Source organism: Homo sapiens, chromosome 22 (assembly GCF_000001405.40).
Source record: "Homo sapiens chromosome 22, GRCh38.p14 Primary Assembly".
Classification (NCBI taxonomy): Eukaryota; Metazoa; Chordata; class Mammalia; order Primates; family Hominidae; genus Homo; species Homo sapiens.
This window is the reverse complement of record NC_000022.11, coordinates 19,869,667-19,888,875: the sequence shown is the minus strand read 5'-3', so window position 1 is coordinate 19,888,875 and position 19,209 is coordinate 19,869,667. Positions and strand designations below refer to the sequence as shown.

Genomic DNA, 19,209 nt, shown 5'->3' with positions numbered 1-19,209 from the left:
AATATTTTAAAATAATAAGCTTCAAGAATCTAAGTCCAGTTCCAAAGGCATACGCTCCTCTGTGCCTGGTCCAAGGTGCCTCACTGGGGCAAGTGGCAGGCCAGGCCCCGTGAGGGTGGCTGGCTCTGGGGGCCACATGCCTCATGAGACAGTCGCCAGGTGGCCCACAGGGCCTGTGTGTGAAGCCGTGCCCGCCTCGCATCGCCCACCGGCCCTGGAGCCTCCCACTCCCACACCCTCGTCCTCAGGCGCAGTGCTTGGCCCTGGCTGCCTCTGTCTGGATCACAGCCACTGGCTCACCCTGCTGTACTCCTGCTGGCACTTACCTCTCACCTGGGGCGCTGCCTCCTTGCTCTTCTCTTGGGAAAATGTGTCCCAGGCGGGCGTGAAATCAGAGGGCATGCCTGTTCTTCCCATCATGGATGAGAGAGGCGCATGATACTGCATGCGGCTGGCCGTCCCCGTGTCCCTGTGTCCATCAGAATAGATGGGAGTGACCCATGGTGACTGTGTGGGTGGTTTTTGGGCTTCAGCCTTCTCTGGTCCCTCCTTGGGGCCAGGCTGGCTGGACAAGCATGGTGGCTGCCCTCCATCTCCTGGGCCATTGACAGCAGCTGGTGGGGCTCTCATTGTGATCAGAGGAGGGCTGCCCTGCACGGCTGTTCCTAGCACTGGCCACACATGGAGATGGGCTGTCCTGCGTCAGGGGTGCTGCACTGCTGGGCCTGGGGCTGGAGGCAGCTCCGGGCTGCAGAGATGCTCAGCCCAGTGCTTCCTGAGTGTCAGTGTTGTGGGCCAGCCACACATATACATAGGAAGTGAGCACGTCCATTTGTACCTGGAATTACTATTTTTTTGGCAGAAGGACAAACTTTGTTGGGCCCATCAGCCCCAATTCTGAACCAAGTCCAGTGGGCAGCAATGAGACCCACTTTGCTACCAGCAGAGACATCTCTGCAGTGGCAGGTTCGCCAACGTGCCAGTGGTTGCCATCTCTGAAGGGACGTTCCTTGGGGCTTGCGGCCATACTCTGCACCATGGTCAGCAGCTCTTCTTTGCCTTATATGTAGTGGGCATGGCCTGCCTTCAGGATGGCTGGTCAGTTCGGCCACCTCTGGCTCCCACATTGACCACAGCTCTGTTGGCTGAGATGATCCTCTTGGAGGGCAGCTTCATGTAAGTCTTCCTGGTTTCCGGGCTAGGGGAGGTGACTGCGGTGTAGTTCTCAAAGGCCCAGGCTAACAAGTTCCAGTCTCAGCCTCTCCTCCAGGCAGCGCTTGATGGTACAGGTGTGGTGCCTGCAGGGAGGACGCTGCCGACGTCCAGCTGGGCCCTCTTGCTACAGTACACAAACAGAAATTGGCCCGTGTGGAGGCCCTTGGTGGTGATGGACAGCTCTGTCTGCTGCTTAAACTGGTGTGGATCCTGGAGACCATCTCAGCAGGGGCATGTCCTTCAAGGTGCCCTTGATGTAGCTGTGCCGCTCAGCTAAGTCCACAGCATGCAGGCCTATGAGCCCTCCTGCTTCATGTGCACAAGGAACACAGAGCTGGTGCCCTTCCTCTGCCCACGAATCCCGTGGCCCACGACTGCTCATGAATACAGCCTGAAGAGCTGTACCTGGAATTTTAATGCCCTTGTCGTTTGCAGAAAATATGCCAGAGTGTCATGTATCCATTACGTAATAAGCTCTTACAAAGAAGGAACATGGTGAAGATGCCTATAAATGGATGAGAAAAGGCAGGAACTGGTAATTTACAAAAGAGGAAATACAGTTCATAAACACGTGGCCAAAAATTACTTCATCTTACTAGTCATCAAAGAAGTGCAAATTAAAGCAGCATGACAGAGAGTGCTGTGCGCCGCCTGCCCCAGGAAGGAACAGAGTCTAAGGACTGCCCTGCGCCCAGAAGCCCCCACTCAGCTGGCCGCCCTTCCTTTGAGGGTCTGCCCCAGGAACTCAACTGACACATGGCAAGCTGGTGCCCCAGGTCTCCATCCTGGTGGTGTCTAGGAAGCAGAGCCTTGAGAGTGCCTGTCCTACCCCAGGAGGGGCCATTCAGCAGCACTTGGCAAATGCTGCACTGGGCACTCCAGAGCCAAGGCTTCGAGGACGGAGCTGCAGGGAGCACAGAGCCGCCCCATGGGGAGGCCTGCAGTGGGCCACAGGCACAGCTGGGAAAGCTCTGAGCACAACATGCAGGGCGAAAGACACCGGTGCAGGCACCCTTCTTTCCCTAAATGGCCTGAATAGTGCACATTTATCCTGGCATAGGAGGGAAATGGTCGGGAGCTGACCAGGCACAACTGCTTTATCCTGGCATAGGAGGGAAATGGTGGGGAGCTGACTGGGCACAGCCACCTGCATCCTGCTGCTCACAGCATTCGGGCCCCAGTGGGTCCCCACCTTGGCACAAGTCGTCCAACCTCCTGCAGGGCTCCAGGCCTGAGCCAGTAGGGCCTAGGACGCCTGATTGGCTGTCCAGCACCAGCAGGGAGATCTGGCCCTTCTCTGGCCACTGCCCAGTCCTTTGCTCAGCAAGACCCATAGTGGGGCTCAGGGCCTGGTGTCCTGCCATCAGGGCTGGCCACGGCTAGGGACGTGGCCCCACCCAAGTGGAGCTGGCCTCTTCCCTGCACCCACTCCCAGCCACGTCCCACCAGCCCAGCTTCTAACCCCACTGTGCCCTCGGCTGCCCTCCTCAGGGCTGAGCCTGCTGCCTGCCACAGGCCACTCACTCTTCTTTTGCTGTTCATTCCCGAAGGGCTGTGGAGTCCCTGCAGGGCCAGGCGTGTCTGTGCCGCGCAGCCCACTCTCCCCTGGCCATCCAGCCTGTCCAGCTGTCATGCCTTTCACATTAGTGGCTCCATTACATTCCCACCGACTTCCCAGAGTGATCCACAGAGCATGTGCGGAAGAGTCCTGGCTTTGGATGGGCCACCTATTTCCATGCCTCTTTTATCTCTTGTGACTACTTTTAAATTTATCTTTATTTCCTTCGGGACCTGGGGACAGGGTTTGGTCAGCACCTGCAAGGTCTGTAGTTGCCATAGTGCCATAGTTACCATGAGGAACATGATGAGTGCTCTTGGCTTCCCAGGACCAGCCAGGCAAGCGTGCAGAGGAGAGTGTGGGTGCAGCGTCAGATGTTCTGTTCCGGCACGGAGCAGGCACCAGGAAGTGCTGGGCCTGGTGGGCTGGACACCAGGTTGGAGAGGGACCAGACGGCTGAGCGTGAGCCCCCGGCCTGCAGGGACCACAGCCCCTCCTTCGTGCCCCAGCCCTGCCCATGGGGCCCAGCTCCTTCCTCTGATGTGGGCTGGCATCCCCTGTGTCTGGGCTGATCCCCGACCGGTGCCAGCCCTCCCGGCACCCAATTCCTGCGGCTGAGCAGAGCACAGAGGCTGGAGCCGGCCTCCCGCAAGCTGGCTTAGCCAAGTTGGTATGTTTTGACTCCTGCCCCGGGACAGCAGCTGGAGACTTAAGGGTTCCCTCTCACGGGAGCTTCAGCTTCCAGATGCTTAGGTGGGCGCCACCCGCATACCGGCCAGCAGCTGGTTTGTCCCAGCCACGATGAGCAGGGGAGCTATGCTTTTGAGGCAAAATTGCCTTCGCCATTGGTGGATCATCCTGAGCCCCTGGGAGCCGAGAGCACCTGGGGTTGGGAGGGAAAAGCTGCTGTGGCCATCCGCTGGCCTGGCAAAATCACACCCATCTGAGTTAGGGGAGAAAGGGACCTCTGCTGGCTGTTCGGCTATGAAGAGGCCCATGCGGTGCCCTCTCTCCGGGCCCCAGGCTGTGTGGAGACTGGCAGGGGGCAGCTGTGCTGACCCCCTGGACTGGCCATCCCCTGCCCCTCTTGGCCTTTGCACCCAAGAGCAGGATCAGCTGAGCCAGCTGCCCCCTAGAATGGGCACGGTGTAGTTTGGACACTGCCCCTTAGCTCAGCTCCCCTTGGCCCTGAGGTCTCTAGGCTGGGACTGTGTGCCAGGCAGCCACGAGGGGCTGCAGCACAGAGCAGGTGGGAGACCCGGCTGCTAGCTCTGCTCACCTGGCCCTCTACTAGCGGGTTACGGGGGCTTGCTTTCTCCTAATGGGGAGAGACCTTCAAGCCCTACCTGGGCAGAGGGCCAGATCCCAGGACTTGAGCATTGTTGGGGTACAGTCCAGGGTGTGGCTGGCTCCTCTTCAGCTTGTCCAGATAGGGAGGAGGCCATTGGGAGCCAGCAGGTGTCCCTTGAAGGAGGCCCCTCTGGACTCTTGAGGCCTGGGAGCTGATGGATCTCACTGCCTAATGGTATCAGGCTGTGGTGCTGCAGACAGATGCAGGGAGGCCAGGCAGGCCAGGTGCCAACAGCTCCCCATGAAGGGCTGGTTTCTCCGGATGAAGTCAGTACCAGAGCCACTGGCACTGTGCTGGTGGCCCTGCAGCAGGGCCTGAGGCCTGGGCATGCGGAAGATTCTGGAGTCCCGCGCTTAGCACTCTTTGATGTCAGGGAGCCCCAGCATTGGCAAGTGCCTCTTCCTTTCCCGCGTGCCAGGAACCAGTCTAAGGCCGACTCCAGTTTCCACCGGTGGCACCCCTGCCTTGTCTCCTGTGCCGGCTGTCATCTGACCAGTGTCCGTTTCAGACCTGCCTGCCACCTCCTGCAGAGGCCAGGAGCCCCTCTACGCTGCTGGTGCTTCACATTTGGCCAGTTCTAAGTGGACATTCTTTTTTCTTGAGACAGTCTCACTCTGTCGCCCAGGCTGAAGTGCAGTGGTGTGATCTTGGCTCACTGCAACCGACACCTCCCGGGTTCAAGCAATTCTCATGCCTCACCCTCCCAAGTAGCTGGGATTACGGGTGCATGCCACCACACCCAGCTATTTTTGTATTTTTAATAGAGACAGGGTTTCTTTCTTTTCTTTTCTTTCTTTTTTTTTTTTTGAGACAGAGTTTTGCTCTTGTTGCGCAGGCTGGAGCGCAATGGTGCAATCTTAGCTCACTGCAGCCTCCACCTCCTGGGTTCAAGCGATTCAACCTCCCGAGTAGCTGGGACTATAGGTGTGCACCACTACGCCTAGGTAATTTTGTATTTTTAGTAGAGATGGGGTTTCACCATGTTGGCCAGGCTGGTTTTGAACTCCAGACCTCAGGTGATCCACTTGCCTCGGCCTCCCAAAGTGTTGGGATTATAGGCATGAGCCATCACGCCTGGCTGAGACAGGGTTTCATCATGTTGGCCAGCCTGGTCTCGAACTCATGACCTCAGGTGATTTGCCCACCTCGTCCTCCTACAGTGCTGGGATTACAGGCAGGAGCCACTGCACCCGGTCTCTAAGTGGACATTCTGAGAAACAGTTTAAACACAACCGCTCTAGGTCAAAGCCACTGAAGATAACCTTTCAGCCCCCTCTCTGTTTCCTTCAGGTCGAGTCCCAGACACCAGAAGTCTGAATTTGGAGAAGGCTGGGGTAGATACTAGCCCCGACACTCAGAAGATCCTGGTGGACTCCCGGGAAGCCACCTCTGTGCCCCACATCTACGCCATTGGTGACGTGGTGGAGGTACGGCATGCGTCCCGGGACCAGGGCCCCTGCCCCTGCCTGCTCCACCACCCCTGCTCGCTGGGCTCCGGCTGCTGCCGTCCTGTAGGAGAGAAACGACACTTTCTCTGATGACAGAGGCTCTGGGCCAAACCCCAGGGCCAGCCTGTCTGGAGTTCTGGGGCAACCTGGACATGGGCCTCGGCTCTCTGCCTTTCCTTTCCTTTCTGTGGTGGGAGTGTGGATGGTCTAAAGACAGCTGCAAGCACCAGCAGCAGACGCCTGCTGGGAATGGGGCATGGGTCAGCTCTGCACGCAGGCCTCAACCCCTGGCAGGTAGGCTAGAGGCATAGGCTTAGAAATGCCACCATGGCCTTGGGGCCGTCCTGTCCCCACAGGGTTGAGAGGCAGGTCTAGTTCGGGCCCACCTGGCCCCGCCCTCCCCGCCTCAGTATCCTCTGGCTTGCCTCTCTGGGCATCACACCGGGGCAGGTCCTTTGCTCTCAGCTGCTGCTGCTGCTGTGAAGTGGAGACCGGTGCCAGTCTTTCCTGGGTGGGGGCTCTGGAGCCCTCCTTACACATGGCCCCAGTAAGGGACTGTGGTGGTCAGTCTTGGGATACTGCACCCTGGCAGCCTCAGGAGTGCTCGGCCTGTCCTGCATGTGTCCAGCACCTGCTGCTGAAAGTGGCTCTGGAGGGTCGCTGAGAGCTTCTTTGTAGCGAGACCTGTCAGTGTCTGCGTCCTGGGGCTGTGGTACCAAATCACCACACACGGGTGGCCCAGAACAACAGACATGGATTATCTCACGTTTGGGGGGCAGTAGTCTGAAATGAAAGTGTCAGCTGGGGCTGGGTGCAGTGTCTCATGCTTGTAATCCCAGCACTTTGGGACTCCGAGGCAGGCAGATTACTTGAGGTCAGGAGTTCAAGACCAGCCTAGCCAACATGGTGAAACCGTCTCTACTAAAAAAATACAAAAATTAGCCAGGCGTGGTGGCACGTATCTGTAATCCCAGCTACCCGGGAGGCTGAGGCAGGAGAATCATTTGAACTCGGGAGGAGGAAGGCGGAGGTTACCGTGAGCCAAGATTGTGCCACTGCACTCCAGCCTGGGTGACAGAGCGAGACTCCATGTCAGAAAGTGTCAGCTGGGCCAGGCTCCCTCGGAAGCCTCTGGGGTAGGATGCCCCAGGCGTCCCTCGGGTTGTGGCTATATCACTCCTCTCTCTGCCTCATCGTCATGTGACAGTCTCCTGGGTGTGTCTCTGGGCCCTGATTTGCCTCTTACAGTTTCTCTGCAATTGGACTTAGGGTCCACCCTAATCCAGGATGACTTCATTTCCATCCTTACCTTAATTGTATCTGCAAAGATCTTATTTCCAAATAAGGTCACACTCTGAGGCTCCAGGCAGACCCTGCAGGGTCCTGTAGGGCCCATCTAGCCGACCCGATTGTGTGGACAGAGCATGTGGCTCCATGTGCCTCAGCCACCCTGCAGCCCCAGCTTGCTTAGCTGGATGGTTCAGCTGCTCAGTGATTTCTGCAAGCGCAGCCTCTGCCTGTGGACCATGTAGGTGCAGTGGTCTCTGGTTGCAGGGTCTGTTGAATCCTGTGGGCGCTGCACCCTGAGACAGTGCCATGTGCATCTCTGTGCACAGCGGGAAGCCTCCCTTCTGTCTGGGAATCTGAGTTTTCCCTCTGCAAGTGTGTAGCTCCCAGGCTCCTGTGTTGGAAACTGGAACATTTCAAACCGTTTTGCCAGAAATGCATGGCGCACACAAAGGCATTCTTTATTTAAACATTAAATCCACTCTGTCAGAAAGGTCGTTCTGAATAGTCCAAAGAGTTAACACCCAACCAGTGGTCCCTTGAGCGGCTGGGAAGAGCCTGTGGGCGGGGCGGGGGCTATTGTTTAATGAGATGTTGTGTGCTGTGCGCCGCCCGCCGGGATGTTTCCGTAGTTAGTCAGGCCTGCTGGAATGCGCAGGCTGCGCTCTGAGTTTATCTCCACGGATCTCTATGCATTTCTGGAATGCCAAACAACATCTGCATTTCCTGCTGCCATGGTGATTGGCAGCCCATCCCAGAGGACGGTGCTGGAACCCCCAAGGCTGGGCACACCCTGGGACGGAGGGATCTCCAGCACAGCGACATTCTGATTTGGAATTTGTTATGGACTGTGACGTGCAGATCAAGCTGCACGTCAGGAGCACATGGAACGCTTTGGGGTCCCTTTTTAGCCGGGGATTCCAGTGAATGAAAACGGTAGCAGGGGCTCTTTTGAGCTTGGTCATGGGGCAGCCCTCCGAGGTCAGCAATGTGCAGAAGGGGTTTGGAGAGAAGGCTTGAGCATGTGAGGGTGGCACGGCCAGCCTCATCAGCAGCGGACTCCTTTCCCAGGGCAGAGTGGAGGGCAGCAAACAGGAGAATGAGCAACCTACCTAGGTCCTTGGGATGCCCCTCAGGAGGACGAGCTCTAGGGGGAATGCTGTACGTCACCATGCTCGGTGCCAGTGTTGGGGATTTTCTAAAGGGAGATGCCCACTCGGAGGGCAAAGGGTGATGGCATAGGGGCTGCATATAACCCCGGACATGGTGCTGACGTGGCCCCCCTGTGCCTTCCCCAAGGGGCGGCCTGAGCTGACACCCATAGCGATCATGGCCGGGAGGCTCCTGGTGCAGCGGCTCTTCGGCGGGTCCTCAGATCTGATGGACTACGACAATGTGAGTTCTCTAGCAGGACGCCACGTGCAGCCTAGGACAGGCTGAGTTCGAGGCTAGCTCTTCTGGGGTGAGGGGCCTTTGTGCGCTGTGTGTCTGCATGTAGATGTGGGCATGCGTGTGTGTGCGCTTATGTGGGTGTGTTGTACACACGTGTGTGTGCATGCATGGGTGTGTGGCTCAGTTCTGAGAGTGTGGCGCAGGCGTGGGCAGGTGGGTCGCCTACTGTGCTTGCAGCCTGCTCTGGGCGCATCTGGTCCTGGTCTGTGATCGCTGCTCTTTGTGTCACATGCAGTGGGGAACTTCGGTTTTCGGGGCCCAAGGGCCCTCCCTGACTCCAGACCTGCTTTCAGGTTCCCACGACCGTCTTCACCCCGCTGGAGTATGGCTGTGTGGGGCTGTCCGAGGAGGAGGCAGTGGCTCGCCACGGGCAGGAGCATGTTGAGGTGAGGCCTGGGAGCAGCACAGCTGAGGACAGTGGCGACTCCACGACCTCACCCCATGCTCTGGGCGGAGGCCTTGTGAGCAGGGTGCCAAGGTCTCTCCTTTCCAGGGGCCCTGAGCAGTGGCTGTGTGTAGCGGGAAGGGACACGTTGGGGGCAGCCTCAGAAGTGGGGGTGCCTGGGCTTTGGCAGCCTTGGGGTGACTGGGCTTAGGTGCCTCTGGTCTCTGCCACCATGTGTCACAGCAGTGAGGGGAAGGCCCTTGGCTGCCTTGTTCTGAGGGCAAGGAGAAGCCCTGTGGCCCAGAAGCCCCCAGCCCCACCCCAGCCATGCTGCAGGGGTGCCCAGCACCAGCAGGGTCACCACCACGGTGCCACCCGCTCCCCTGCTGAGGTCAGCTGAGCACTGGCCCCACTCCAGCACACAGCAGCTTGTCCCTGAAAGCACCAGGGCCCCGAAGATGCCTCTGTGCTGTCCCCACCTTGCAGGGCCATGAATCTCACTCTACCCAGAAAAGTTTCTCCCAGGGGCCTCCGACCTCTGCTTCCACCCCCACCCCCCCCACCACCCTGCACCTCGTCTTCCTGGACTGCCCAGGGTTTCTCCCAGGCGAGAGCCCCCCGCCCCCCGCCCCCCACCACATCCTGATACCCATCCTCTTCCAGCTTCTTCCAGGCTCAGGCACTCACCCTTGAGGAAAGGGGTTTTCATCGAGCAAGCCTGCTTTGGGGGTCTGCTCTGGCAGGTGGCTGTGGCTCCGGGGTGGCCTGGAGGGATGCGGGGGCTCTGAAGCCTGCCGGGCCGTGGTAGCTGGAAGCCTTCGGTGCGGTTTCATCTTGCTGCCGCTGCAGCTTGCAGGCACCCAGAGAAACCGGAGCCTGCAGCCTGGGCGGTGGGGCCTGCGGCCTTTGGGGATGAGACACTGGGCTCCAGGGCTGGCCCCTTCCCCCTGCACCCCAGAACTCTCCATCAACAGGACGGGCCTGACAGGCCAGCCTTCCCCGAGGCACTTTATTTGCTATTTTTGTTTGATTCATCACAAGTGTGCTGGGACATATGTTCCTGGCATTTTATAATGTTGTTTTATGTTTCACAATGTTGAATGGCCAAATACTCTGTTTGTTTTCTTTTCAATTCTGTCTTAGTTAGAACAATATTCTCTGAAGTTCCATTAATTAATAATGGCTGTACAGCACATGTGAGGGCCCCACTCATTTTTTACTTGGCCGCAGCCCCGGACACGCTGTCGAGCCCTTCAGGGGTGCTGAAAGCCTTTGTCCAACAGCTCCGGCTCCGGTGTGGCCACAGCGGCCTTGCTCCAGTGAGGGCCAAGCAAACACCAGGGTGCCTGAGGGAGCCCAGGTGGCCTCCTGCTCACCCATTCTTGCCTCCACCATTTGTTGTGGGTGAGCTACGTCCACCCAGGTTTGCTGTGCCTGGCCTGGCTGCTTGGATTGCCTGATGCCTGCTCTGCTGCTGTGGTTTACGGGGGTCCCAGGCCTGGGTGGGACAGGGTCTGTCCTGCAGAGCATGGCTCCAGCCACTGGCTGCCTGCACGTGAGAGGGCCTGCACACACCCCGTGGCCAGCCAAGCCCTCATCCCCATCCCAGACCAGACCTTCAGGCCAGATGGATGGTTCCTGCCCGCCATGACCCTGCCTTGCCCATGCAGCCTGTGGGAGCTGCAGGTGCCACGAGGTTTGTTTGTCGCAGCACTGATCCAGGGTTGGTATCCTGTCCTCAGGTCTATCACGCCCATTATAAACCACTGGAGTTCACGGTGGCTGGACGAGATGCATCCCAGTGTTATGTAAAGGTGAGCATCCCTGTGGCCCAGGGTGCTGAGGATGAGAGGGAGGGTGGCAAAGAGCCTGGCAGGGTGAACACCCGAGGACTGGCCCCACCCATGCCTCCCAGGCAGGGTGCAGGGTGGATGCAGGGTGGACGCAACCCAGCCCCCTCCTGGGCTGGTGGCTGAGATGTGCGGCTTTCAGATGGTGTGCCTGAGGGAGCCCCCACAGCTGGTGCTGGGCCTGCATTTCCTTGGCCCCAACGCAGGCGAAGTTACTCAAGGATTTGCTCTGGGGATCAAGTAAGTCCCGAGGAATGCAGGCTGCGATGCGATGTGCAGCTGGGTATCCCTCGAGTGCCGGCAGTCCTACAGTGGAGAGCTGCTGCCACTCTTGCGGCATTTATGTGGCCTTCGTGGGTTTGCAGCAGAGATTCCTCAGGCCCCTCAGACAGGGCGGGTTTTAGGGGGACAAGAGGCGGTTCTGCCCCAGCCAGACGCTGTTGAGCCAGCCAGAGCCAGGTGAGGTGTCCCCTGTGGCCCCGGGTCGCTGCTAGGGCCCTTGCCCACCTGGCCAAGCACCACGCCACCATGAGCAGAGTGCCAGTACCTGGAGAGCCACCCCAGGGCTGCTGTGTGTCTTCTGGAGCTGGGGCCATTGCCTGGGTCTTGGGCTCAGGCTGTGTGTTTTCGGGGTCCCGGGGTCAAAGGAAGCCATGGCAAAGGCTCTGGGTGGGTTGACAGGGGTAGTTGGAGGTTGGGACATTGTGCATGGCCTGAGAGAGGTGGCTGGCTGGATGTGGGGCCTGGGAGGTGGTGGTGTGGTGAGGCCAGGATGCGCTGTCTGTGGGTAAAGCAGAGAGCAGAGGCCTAAGGCAGGACTGTGCCTAGCAGGGGAGGATGGAACAGCAGGAAGCCAGGCCAGGGCAAGCCAGGGCGTGGCTGGGTGGGAGGTGGGCTGGACGAGCACTAGGCATCTGCTGGGAGGGAGGTGGATGGCACCCACGGGTGTGGGCAGGGGTCCTGGCTGCTGGCTGGGGGTCAGGGGACAGTGAGGAGACCAGCAGCCTCTGAGGCCCTCCTCTTCCCGGGGGTGGGATGCTGTGGACCCCCCTCCCTGTGCTGACCCCGCCTGCCTCCCCCATCCCCCATGTGCAGGTGTGGGGCTTCCTATGCGCAGGTGATGCGGACCGTGGGTATCCATCCCACATGCTCTGAGGAGGTAGTCAAGCTGCGCATCTCCAAGCGCTCAGGCCTGGACCCCACGGTGACAGGCTGCTGAGGGTAAGCGCCATCCCTGCAGGCCAGGGCACACGGTGCGCCCGCCGCCAGCTCCTCGGAGGCCAGACCCAGGTATGCAGGTGGGGCTGGCTCTGTTTGAGGACAGGGCATGTGGCAGGGGTGCAGGAGCCCTGGCCATGGGCTCCCTCCAGGTGTACAGCAAGGCTACACCTGCCACGCCACCCAGAATGGGTGCTCCATCCTGTAACCAGGCCACAGCGGTGACAGGCAGAAGGGGAAGTTCCCAGGGGCCCAAACCTCCCCGGGGGACCCCAGACCCCGGCCTGGCCACAGCTGCTCCCCACACACAGGAGGTATCAAGAAACGGGGCTCATCCTTAGCAGCCTATCCCAGGTGGATGTTGGCGTGGAAGGTGTCCCGGGTGGGCTAAAGTCGGGCATCTCAAGTTGCTGCCCCACAGGGGGCTGCAGTCGGGAAGCTGGCCTCCCACCGAGGCCTCCCACCAAGGCCTGGCTCCTGCAGAGTTCAGCGCCCGCTCATTTCCCTATCTCCCAGAAGGTGGAGACGCTGCCCTGTGATGGCCGGCCCTGCCCAGCCTGCCCTGCACATCTGGTTCTGTTCCAGCTCTGCAGAGCCAGGCTGACCGGGGGGCATGTTGTTCATCGTGACCTCTTCTGGGGAGGAAGAAACTGGCAAGGGCTCCTGGCCTCTGCCCCAGGGATGCCTGTGCCAGAGCCCCCTCGCCTCGTGGTCTAATAGTGCATCCTCCGGCCTGGGCTGCAGGGCAGGGGCCGGGGCAGGGTGGGCCCTCAGCCCGTGCCATCCAGCCCACCTGGGGCACCCCCATGGCTGTCAGCCCCTCCCAGGGTTGGGGTGTTTGGGCTCCATCTCTCCCCCGGGGCTGAGGTGGAGACCAGGCAGAGCAGTGGGCTCCCCCCAAGATGCCTGTGGACAGGCTCTAGGGTCTGCATGGCGCCGAGGGGCTCTGGGGAGGCCTCTCTGGGGGTACTCAGGGCCCCCTGCTTCACCGTGGCCGCCTCCCCCCGGCGGGGCCGCGCTCGATAGGGATAAACAAAGGGCATCCTGAGGAAACTCTTATCAGAACATTACACCTCCCAGAGCTGTTTTGTTAGGAGCCTGCTATAAATTTTTATCATTTCAAAATATTTTTGTAGCACCGCGTCGCTCCCTGTGACGCATCGCCCTGGGGTGGGGCCATTCTCTGCTGGGTTTATTTCTCACCCATCTCCCTTGGGGGTCCCTGGGTGTGGCAGTGGGAGACATAGCTAGGCTGATGTGAGGGGTGGGTGGCTGACCTGTGCTGACCTTCCTGTTGTTGGCAGGATGGCTGCAGGCCAGGTTTGGGGGGCCTCAACCCTCTCCTGGAGCGCCTGTGAGATGGTCAGCGTGGAGCGCAAGTGCTGGACAGGTGGCCCGTGTGCCCCACAGGGATGGCTCAGGGGACTGTCCACCTCACCCCTGCACCTCTCAGCCTCTGCCGCCGGGCACCCCCCCCCAGGCTCCTGGTGCCAGATGATGACGACCTGGGTGGAAACCTACCCTGTGGGCACCCATGTCCGAGCCCCCTGGCATTTCTGCAATGCAAATAAAGAGGGTACTTTTTCTGAAGTGTGCTCTGCCTGCGGTGTCCCTGATGGTCCCCCAGGATCGCCCAGGTGGGTGGGGTCTGGCCAGGCCACCAGGCCCCTCTTCAATCGTGAGTAGCTTCCATCCAGGGCAGCCCAGAGTCCGCTGGGGCCCCTTGAACCCCCGAGCACAATTCCAAGCAGCCCTGGGCAGAGGGGAGCAGACTTGCAGTGCTAGGGACCCCACTTAGGCAGGAGGCGGAGCCGCCCCACCTGCCCCACAGCTGCCTGGCCTCTGGCCTGAAGACGCCCACTGAGGGTTTTTCCTGGGACCCTCTGCCTAGGTCTCTGCACCTTGAAGCAAGAAGGGCAGCCCAGTGCCAGGGAGGCTCTTGGGAGGGGCGGCAACACCGGCTTTGTTCTGGAACAGCCCGCCAGCAGGCAGGCCCATGACAGGAGGTAGCAGGGCTGTGTGAGGCTCTCTGTCCCCGGATGTCAGTCACTTTGCCGGTTTTCCACCGTGGCCCTCCAAGTCAGCTTGTCGGCTGCGTCAGGCTAATCCTGTGCATTGAGGCTTGATGGGCTGGGGAGTGCCTGTCAGTCACTGCCGAGAGACAGCGCTGACAGCCATGGCCGGGCCCTGCATTGTGCTGGGGCTTTAGCTGTGGCTAATCGCGTGTCTTCCTTAAGAAAACATCACTTAGTCTGCCGGCCCGGAGCCGTGGATGGGACCCTGCTTGTCAGCACACAGAGGAATGCCTTTGCACCTTAATGGGCCTGCAGGAGCCCGACTTGCTGTGTGAAACGTGCGCGTGAGCTCTCAGACGCCCACTTAAGATGCCAAGTGCTGGGCCAGGCCCTCCCACAAGTGCAGCTCTAGATCAGCCGTGTCCCATTTAACACACGGCTGGTGGCATGCCTGGGCCGGATCCTGTGGGTGGGGCTCGCCTCTAGGCCTGCAAGTTTTTTTTGCCGTGGAGGCACCGCCAGGCTGGGAGGTCAGCCTACACCTGCTGCCTGGGCTCTGGGGGGTGGCTCTGGGCAGCAGCCAGGAAGGGGGCAGAGGGCCTGTGGATTCCTTGGCCCTGGGATCAGCCCCTGCCAGGGAGCATGGGGAAAGCTTGAAATGGCCTTGGTGCTTTTGTGGTGATGGAGAGGATGCAGCTGTGTGGAGCCCGCACTACACACTGGGCCGCATTCTGCCGGGAGGGCCTCTTGCCTCCCTGTCTGCCCAGCCGACCAGGAGTACCTGTTGCTGGTGGCCTGAGAGCCACCCACACGTCCATGTCCCCACTGGCCCCTCCAGGTGGTTTTCTCTGCGTGCCCCTTCTTCCCAGAACACACCGTGTACCACACACCTGCTCTCTGTGACCTCGGCTCTCCCACGCTGTGTGGCCCATTCAGCCGGCCTGCACATCCCCTAGGAGGGACCAAAACATCCACCACACACATCCCAGGCAGCCGTGGGTCCTTGGGCTCCTGCTGCACAGGGGCTCATACCCTCCTGGTAAGTGGTAGGCAGGGGTCCAGCCCAGTTTACAAGCAATGGGTGCTGCAGGTGAAGAGTGGCCACAAAGAGGCCAGCACTGCTGCCCCAGGCCCTCTCAGGGCCGGTGCTGAACTGGCAGGCACCTGGCTGCAGACCAGGCCCAGGGGACCCCGCAGGCACAGGCCATCCCCACACCTCACTACTCTGGTGGGACACTGGCCCAGAGCCCCCACCCAGGCAGCTGCACAGCCAGGGCAGGAACCAGGGCCCAGCAGGGCAATGTGGGCAAAGCGGCCGCTCTCCCGGTCTCCCTTGCCCAGCGTGGGACCGGTGTGCTGGGCCAACAGTGGTTTCGATCCTGCGTCTCCCTGGAGACGGCCCAGGGAGTGCAGGGTGGGGCCAGAGCCGGGTGCTCTCCGCCTGGCCCCGCGGCCGCCGTCCTGCCGCCTTCACATGTTTTTATGGTGCAATAAAAATATGACTTTAATTCCTCAGATTGTTCTGTGTAACCTGCAATTACCCCCGGCGACATCCTCCACACTTCTGCTGTGGCACCGGATCTCGCAAAGACGTGGGAGCAGGAGAAGTGGGCGGGGGGTGCTGCCCAGCGAGGCTGAGTGGCCCCTCTCTGCCACACCCTGCATGGGGCAGTGTCACCCTCTCCTGCCCCCAACACCCCTGAGTGACATTGGGCAGTTCCCCAGGCCCCCTGGGTGGTCCACATGCAGGGGAGGGGACACACAGTTATGGAGGGCTTCGAGGGCCACAGCGGGGCAGCAGGGGAGGGCAGGGCCTGGCAGGGCTCTGAGGAGTGGACAGGGGGTACAGCAGGGGTCATCAGCTCAAGGGGAGGGGTAACTGAGATGCTCAGACTGCAGCCCCCTCCCTGAGCATGCTGCACCCTTGCTTGGCCCTAGCCTCACTTGGCAGCCATCGGGCACCTCGGCCCTGCTCTCCTGGCCGTGAGGTGACCTTAGTGCTGGCTAGGCCCTCAGGCAGGGCTGCCCCTGTGAGAGCAGCAGCGTCAGGTGGGGCTGCAGTTTGGTGGGGCTGCAGTTGAGAGCACCTGTTTCCTGGCCTCGGGTTTGGGCTCCTCCCACAGGGTCTTGGCACATGAGCTCACCTCGGCTGACACCTGCTTGCCTTACCTGGCCCACGGCCACTCCAGCCCCAGTGCAGCAGCTTGGAGGTGCCGCCAGTGCCTGGGCACTGGGCCCTGGTCCCCTCCCCAGGTTGAAGCAGGACCCAGAGGCAGGCCTGAGGCCCCCACCTACCCCTCACACACTGGGCAAGAACTGGAGGTGACCCAAGACCTTTAATGAGGGATGCCCTGAGGTGGCTGGGCAGTGTGCTCATCGGGGCAGGGCCATGAGGCCACACTAACCCCTCCAGGCCCTATTGAGGCTCCAGGTGCCTGGGCCACCTCGGGTTGAGGCTCCATCCTAGTGGCGTCACCGCCCCATGCTCACATCCCTCCCCAAGAGAGCACAGGTTGGCACCTGGCTTCAGTGGGTGGCATGAGAAGCGTGTTGGTGTCTGCGTTGGGCTGGTGGGTGGGGGCCACTCCTGCCTCCCAGAGCTCAGAGCCACCTGAGCCTCCTGGTCTCGGTCCCAGGCTGCTGCCCCACCCCGTGTCCCTCTGGGAGCCACTTCTCCTCCCCAGGGTCCCTGAGTGCCCCTGTCCTGGGCAAGAGATCCTCCCGCCCAGCCTGATGAGACCTGCTGGCCTCTGCCCACCTGCCCTCACTCATCGCCACTTCCCACCCTTGGGCCTAGTCAGGGTCCAGGAGGGTTGGTGTGGGTCATTCATTGCCAGACACGGGGATCCCCACCCTCTGGAGCAGGAAGCAGCAGGGGGTCTACACCCAAGGCCAGCGGGCCAGCATCAGTGGCCAGGGCAGGTGGTGCAGCCCCTACAGGTATTAAGGCCCAGGCACAGGGCGCCCCATCAGGAAGCATCTCCCTCTGAACTGCCTCTCCATCCAGATGGGCCTGGGCCAGGTCTTACTCTTGGGCAGTAGAGGAAGATGCCCTCTCCTGGCCCCAAATGCACAGGCTGTGGACCTCCCAGCCCATGTGGGGGCCTCAGCCCAACTCACATGGGGCGAAGACTAGAATGGGAGTGTGCTGGGGTGGTGTCCCTCTCCACAACCCAGCTACCCCCCACCTGGGACTGCTCTAGCAGGGCCTGGACGTGGGCCCCCATGCCACCAGGGACCCCGCAGCCCATCCACCCAGCACCTTGGCCCCTACTTTTGCCTGCTTGGCCAGGCCAGAGAGCCAGCCAGCTGCTGAGAGAGACTTCCAGATCCCACTCCCTGGGCTTCCATGGAGCCCTAGGCAGCAGCCCCACGCCCGTCCTGGTAGGGCCACTGGCCCACAAGACCCCTCCCATGGGCCCCCAGGCTGCGTCCTTGGGCTAGCCCACCTCTGTCTCCCTGGCCCTCCCCTCCCCAGCCCTCCCAGCGGAAGCCCAGAGCTCAACAGAGCCTGGCACGGGAGCATCCTATGCCCAGCCTGGTCTCCTTCCTCTACCACCATCTTCGAGCTGGGCTCTCTGGCTGGGCACTGCATGGCCCTGCAAGCTGCCTGAGGTTCTTCCTGGACCAGGCAGGGGCATAAAGAGGTACACGCTGGCGTCCTGGCTGCCACCCCGAGCAGAAGGCAGGCAGGGAGGAACTGGCTCCGTGTGCTCCCATGTCCCTCTGCGCCCGGGCTGAGGGGCCTCCCCCCTGTGCTTGGGGCTTCTGGGCTGTGCTCTTCCAGGCAGGATCCAGTGCTCCAGTGCTGTGCAGATCCCAGCTCTGCTGTGCCCCTGCCCAGACCAGGTCCCACGGGGCCGGCTGCAGGGAGCCGAGCTGCTGGTGGGCTAGTGAAGGAAGGAGCTCAGGGTTGGGGGCAGGCGGGCAAGGGCCTGTCCAGCCACAACCTGGAATGTTCAGCTTGGGAAATAGCTGGACAGAAGATTCTTCAACAGGCAAGAGCTGCCACGAGACTGATAACCCAGGAAATGGATGTGATGCAGCCCCGACGGGGTTCTGGGAGGCAGAGTGTGGGAGGGATGGGACCCCGGACACCTGGGCGCTCCTTGGGCCTCACCTGCAGCAGCCCCCTGAGCGTCAGCCACAGGGCCCACCTCCAAGCCCGGCAGGCGTGGCTGGCATCATCGATTTCTGTTCCCAGAATCCACCATGCAGGGTGAAGTTTGGCCAAGAGTTGAGGACTTGCCACAGACACCCTGCGCTCCGTCAGGCGGTGACAGCATCCAGCTCGGGCTGGCACTACGGGTCGTCAGGGAATACAGGCGACAGCAGCCGAGACTGCCTGCACTGGCCAGGAGTGGAGGACGACAACCCACACGGTGCCTACGCCCTGCGGCCAAGTCCATGCACTAAATGCCAGTGATTGCTGCTGTCAACACCCTGGATGGGTCTTCTGGGCAACCCTGGGAGAGAGAGGCAAGACTGTGGGCCCATTTTCCAGATACTGCTCCTTAATCCCTGCACACTTGATCATGGGAACCGTCAGGGCTGCAGCTTCAGACCTGGGCCTGGTGCCCGTGGGCCCTTGGTGCTGTCCTGCAGATGCAGCCGAGCCTCACTCCTGCCGCACCCTGACCACCCTTCTGTCCCTCATCTTCCCCTATGCCTGCTCTCGAGGCGTGGCCTAACTCCCTCAAATCTCCCTGACCTCTGGTCCTGCCGCCAGAGGGTTCTGGAGCCCTGCTTGTCCTGGCCCCCAGCCAATCCTGTGTGCCTATGAGGACAGCGAGGGGGCCGTCTGTGGGGCCCAGCAAAGCATCTTAGGCCCGAGCCTGCCTGATCCCAGCCCTGACATGGTGTACGGTGCTCAGGTTACCCTAATCCCAAAACCCAAGCTGGCGTTCCCAGAGCCTTCCCTTACTTCCCAGTGAGGGGGACAAGCAGAGACTCTTTGGAGACAGAAGAGAACTTCCCCCGCTGTGCCTTTTGGTTGGTAGCTGACTCTCACAGGGGCAGGGCAGAGGGCTGGGCACCCACAGGAGTGAAAATCCAGGCCCAACAAACCCAAGTGTGTTCAGGACATGGAGATGCAAAGCCAGCGGTGCCGGTGAAGCAGGACCGAAGGGCAGGGCAGACCTGGCTCAAGCCTGGCGAGGTCCTGGCCTCTAGGGTTTCGTGGGACAATCATGGGGCCTTGCGGTTCCACAGAATGGAACTTTTCCCCCCTAATTAAAACTGGAATCTTTTTGGCTTATAACTGGTGATCAAATAACACCAAATGCTTGAGAATAAAGTGGAGCCACCGGCAGGAGGTGGTGTGGCCTTGTAACTCAGCAGCTGGGGGTGCAGCCAACTGTGCCCAGCCCTCTACCCTGGCTGCTGGCCTCTGACCCAGCTGGGACTCCCAGGGCCACCCCTATACTAGGC

At 60.7% G+C, this 19,209-nt stretch overlaps 1 protein-coding gene and 1 pseudogene across 5 annotated transcripts in view, besides 5 other annotated features; one reads left to right on the top strand and one right to left on the bottom strand.

The window, feature by feature from the left end:
• TXNRD2 (thioredoxin reductase 2) overlaps positions 1–13,354 on the top strand; it is a 66,297-nt gene extending 52,943 nt beyond the window's left edge. For 3 of the 5 annotated variants that reach the window (NM_006440.5, NM_001352302.2, NM_001352301.2), the window contains exons 12-18: positions 5,415–5,551; positions 8,159–8,254; positions 8,605–8,697; positions 10,439–10,510; positions 10,689–10,786; positions 11,642–11,836; positions 13,069–13,354. In NM_006440.5, the coding sequence (NP_006431.2) occupies positions 5,415–5,551; positions 8,159–8,254; positions 8,605–8,697; positions 10,439–10,510; positions 10,689–10,786; positions 11,642–11,771 (626 nt within the window). In that variant the 3' untranslated portion in view covers positions 11,772–11,836; positions 13,069–13,354. Of the gene's footprint in view, positions 1–5,414; positions 5,552–8,158; positions 8,255–8,604; positions 8,698–10,438; positions 10,511–10,688; positions 10,787–11,641 lie in introns of all 5 variants that reach the window. The other 2 variants (NR_147957.2, NM_001352300.2) reach the window with 2 other exon arrangements.
• Positions 906–1,587, bottom strand: RPL8P5 (ribosomal protein L8 pseudogene 5; annotated as a pseudogene).
• Positions 6,677–7,478: an enhancer, noted in NCBI's record as "OCT4-NANOG-H3K27ac-H3K4me1 hESC enhancer chr22:19868921-19869722 (GRCh37/hg19 assembly coordinates)". NCBI's record gives its function as "activates a minimal SCP1, AML or CMV promoter by ChIP-STARR-seq in naive and primed H9 embryonic stem cells {active_cell/tissue: H9 hESC(naive and primed)}" and the evidence as "EXISTENCE:reporter gene assay evidence [ECO:0000049][PMID:30033119]".
• Positions 7,479–8,280: an enhancer, noted in NCBI's record as "OCT4-NANOG-H3K27ac-H3K4me1 hESC enhancer chr22:19868119-19868920 (GRCh37/hg19 assembly coordinates)". NCBI's record gives its function as "activates a minimal SCP1, AML or CMV promoter by ChIP-STARR-seq in naive and primed H9 embryonic stem cells {active_cell/tissue: H9 hESC(naive and primed)}" and the evidence as "EXISTENCE:reporter gene assay evidence [ECO:0000049][PMID:30033119]".
• Positions 8,281–9,082: an enhancer, noted in NCBI's record as "H3K27ac-H3K4me1 hESC enhancer chr22:19867317-19868118 (GRCh37/hg19 assembly coordinates)". NCBI's record gives its function as "activates a minimal SCP1, AML or CMV promoter by ChIP-STARR-seq in naive H9 embryonic stem cells {active_cell/tissue: H9 hESC(naive)}" and the evidence as "EXISTENCE:reporter gene assay evidence [ECO:0000049][PMID:30033119]".
• Positions 9,083–9,884: an enhancer, noted in NCBI's record as "H3K27ac-H3K4me1 hESC enhancer chr22:19866515-19867316 (GRCh37/hg19 assembly coordinates)". NCBI's record gives its function as "activates a minimal SCP1, AML or CMV promoter by ChIP-STARR-seq in naive H9 embryonic stem cells {active_cell/tissue: H9 hESC(naive)}" and the evidence as "EXISTENCE:reporter gene assay evidence [ECO:0000049][PMID:30033119]".
• Positions 10,687–11,488: an enhancer, noted in NCBI's record as "H3K4me1 hESC enhancer chr22:19864911-19865712 (GRCh37/hg19 assembly coordinates)". NCBI's record gives its function as "activates a minimal SCP1, AML or CMV promoter by ChIP-STARR-seq in naive H9 embryonic stem cells {active_cell/tissue: H9 hESC(naive)}" and the evidence as "EXISTENCE:reporter gene assay evidence [ECO:0000049][PMID:30033119]".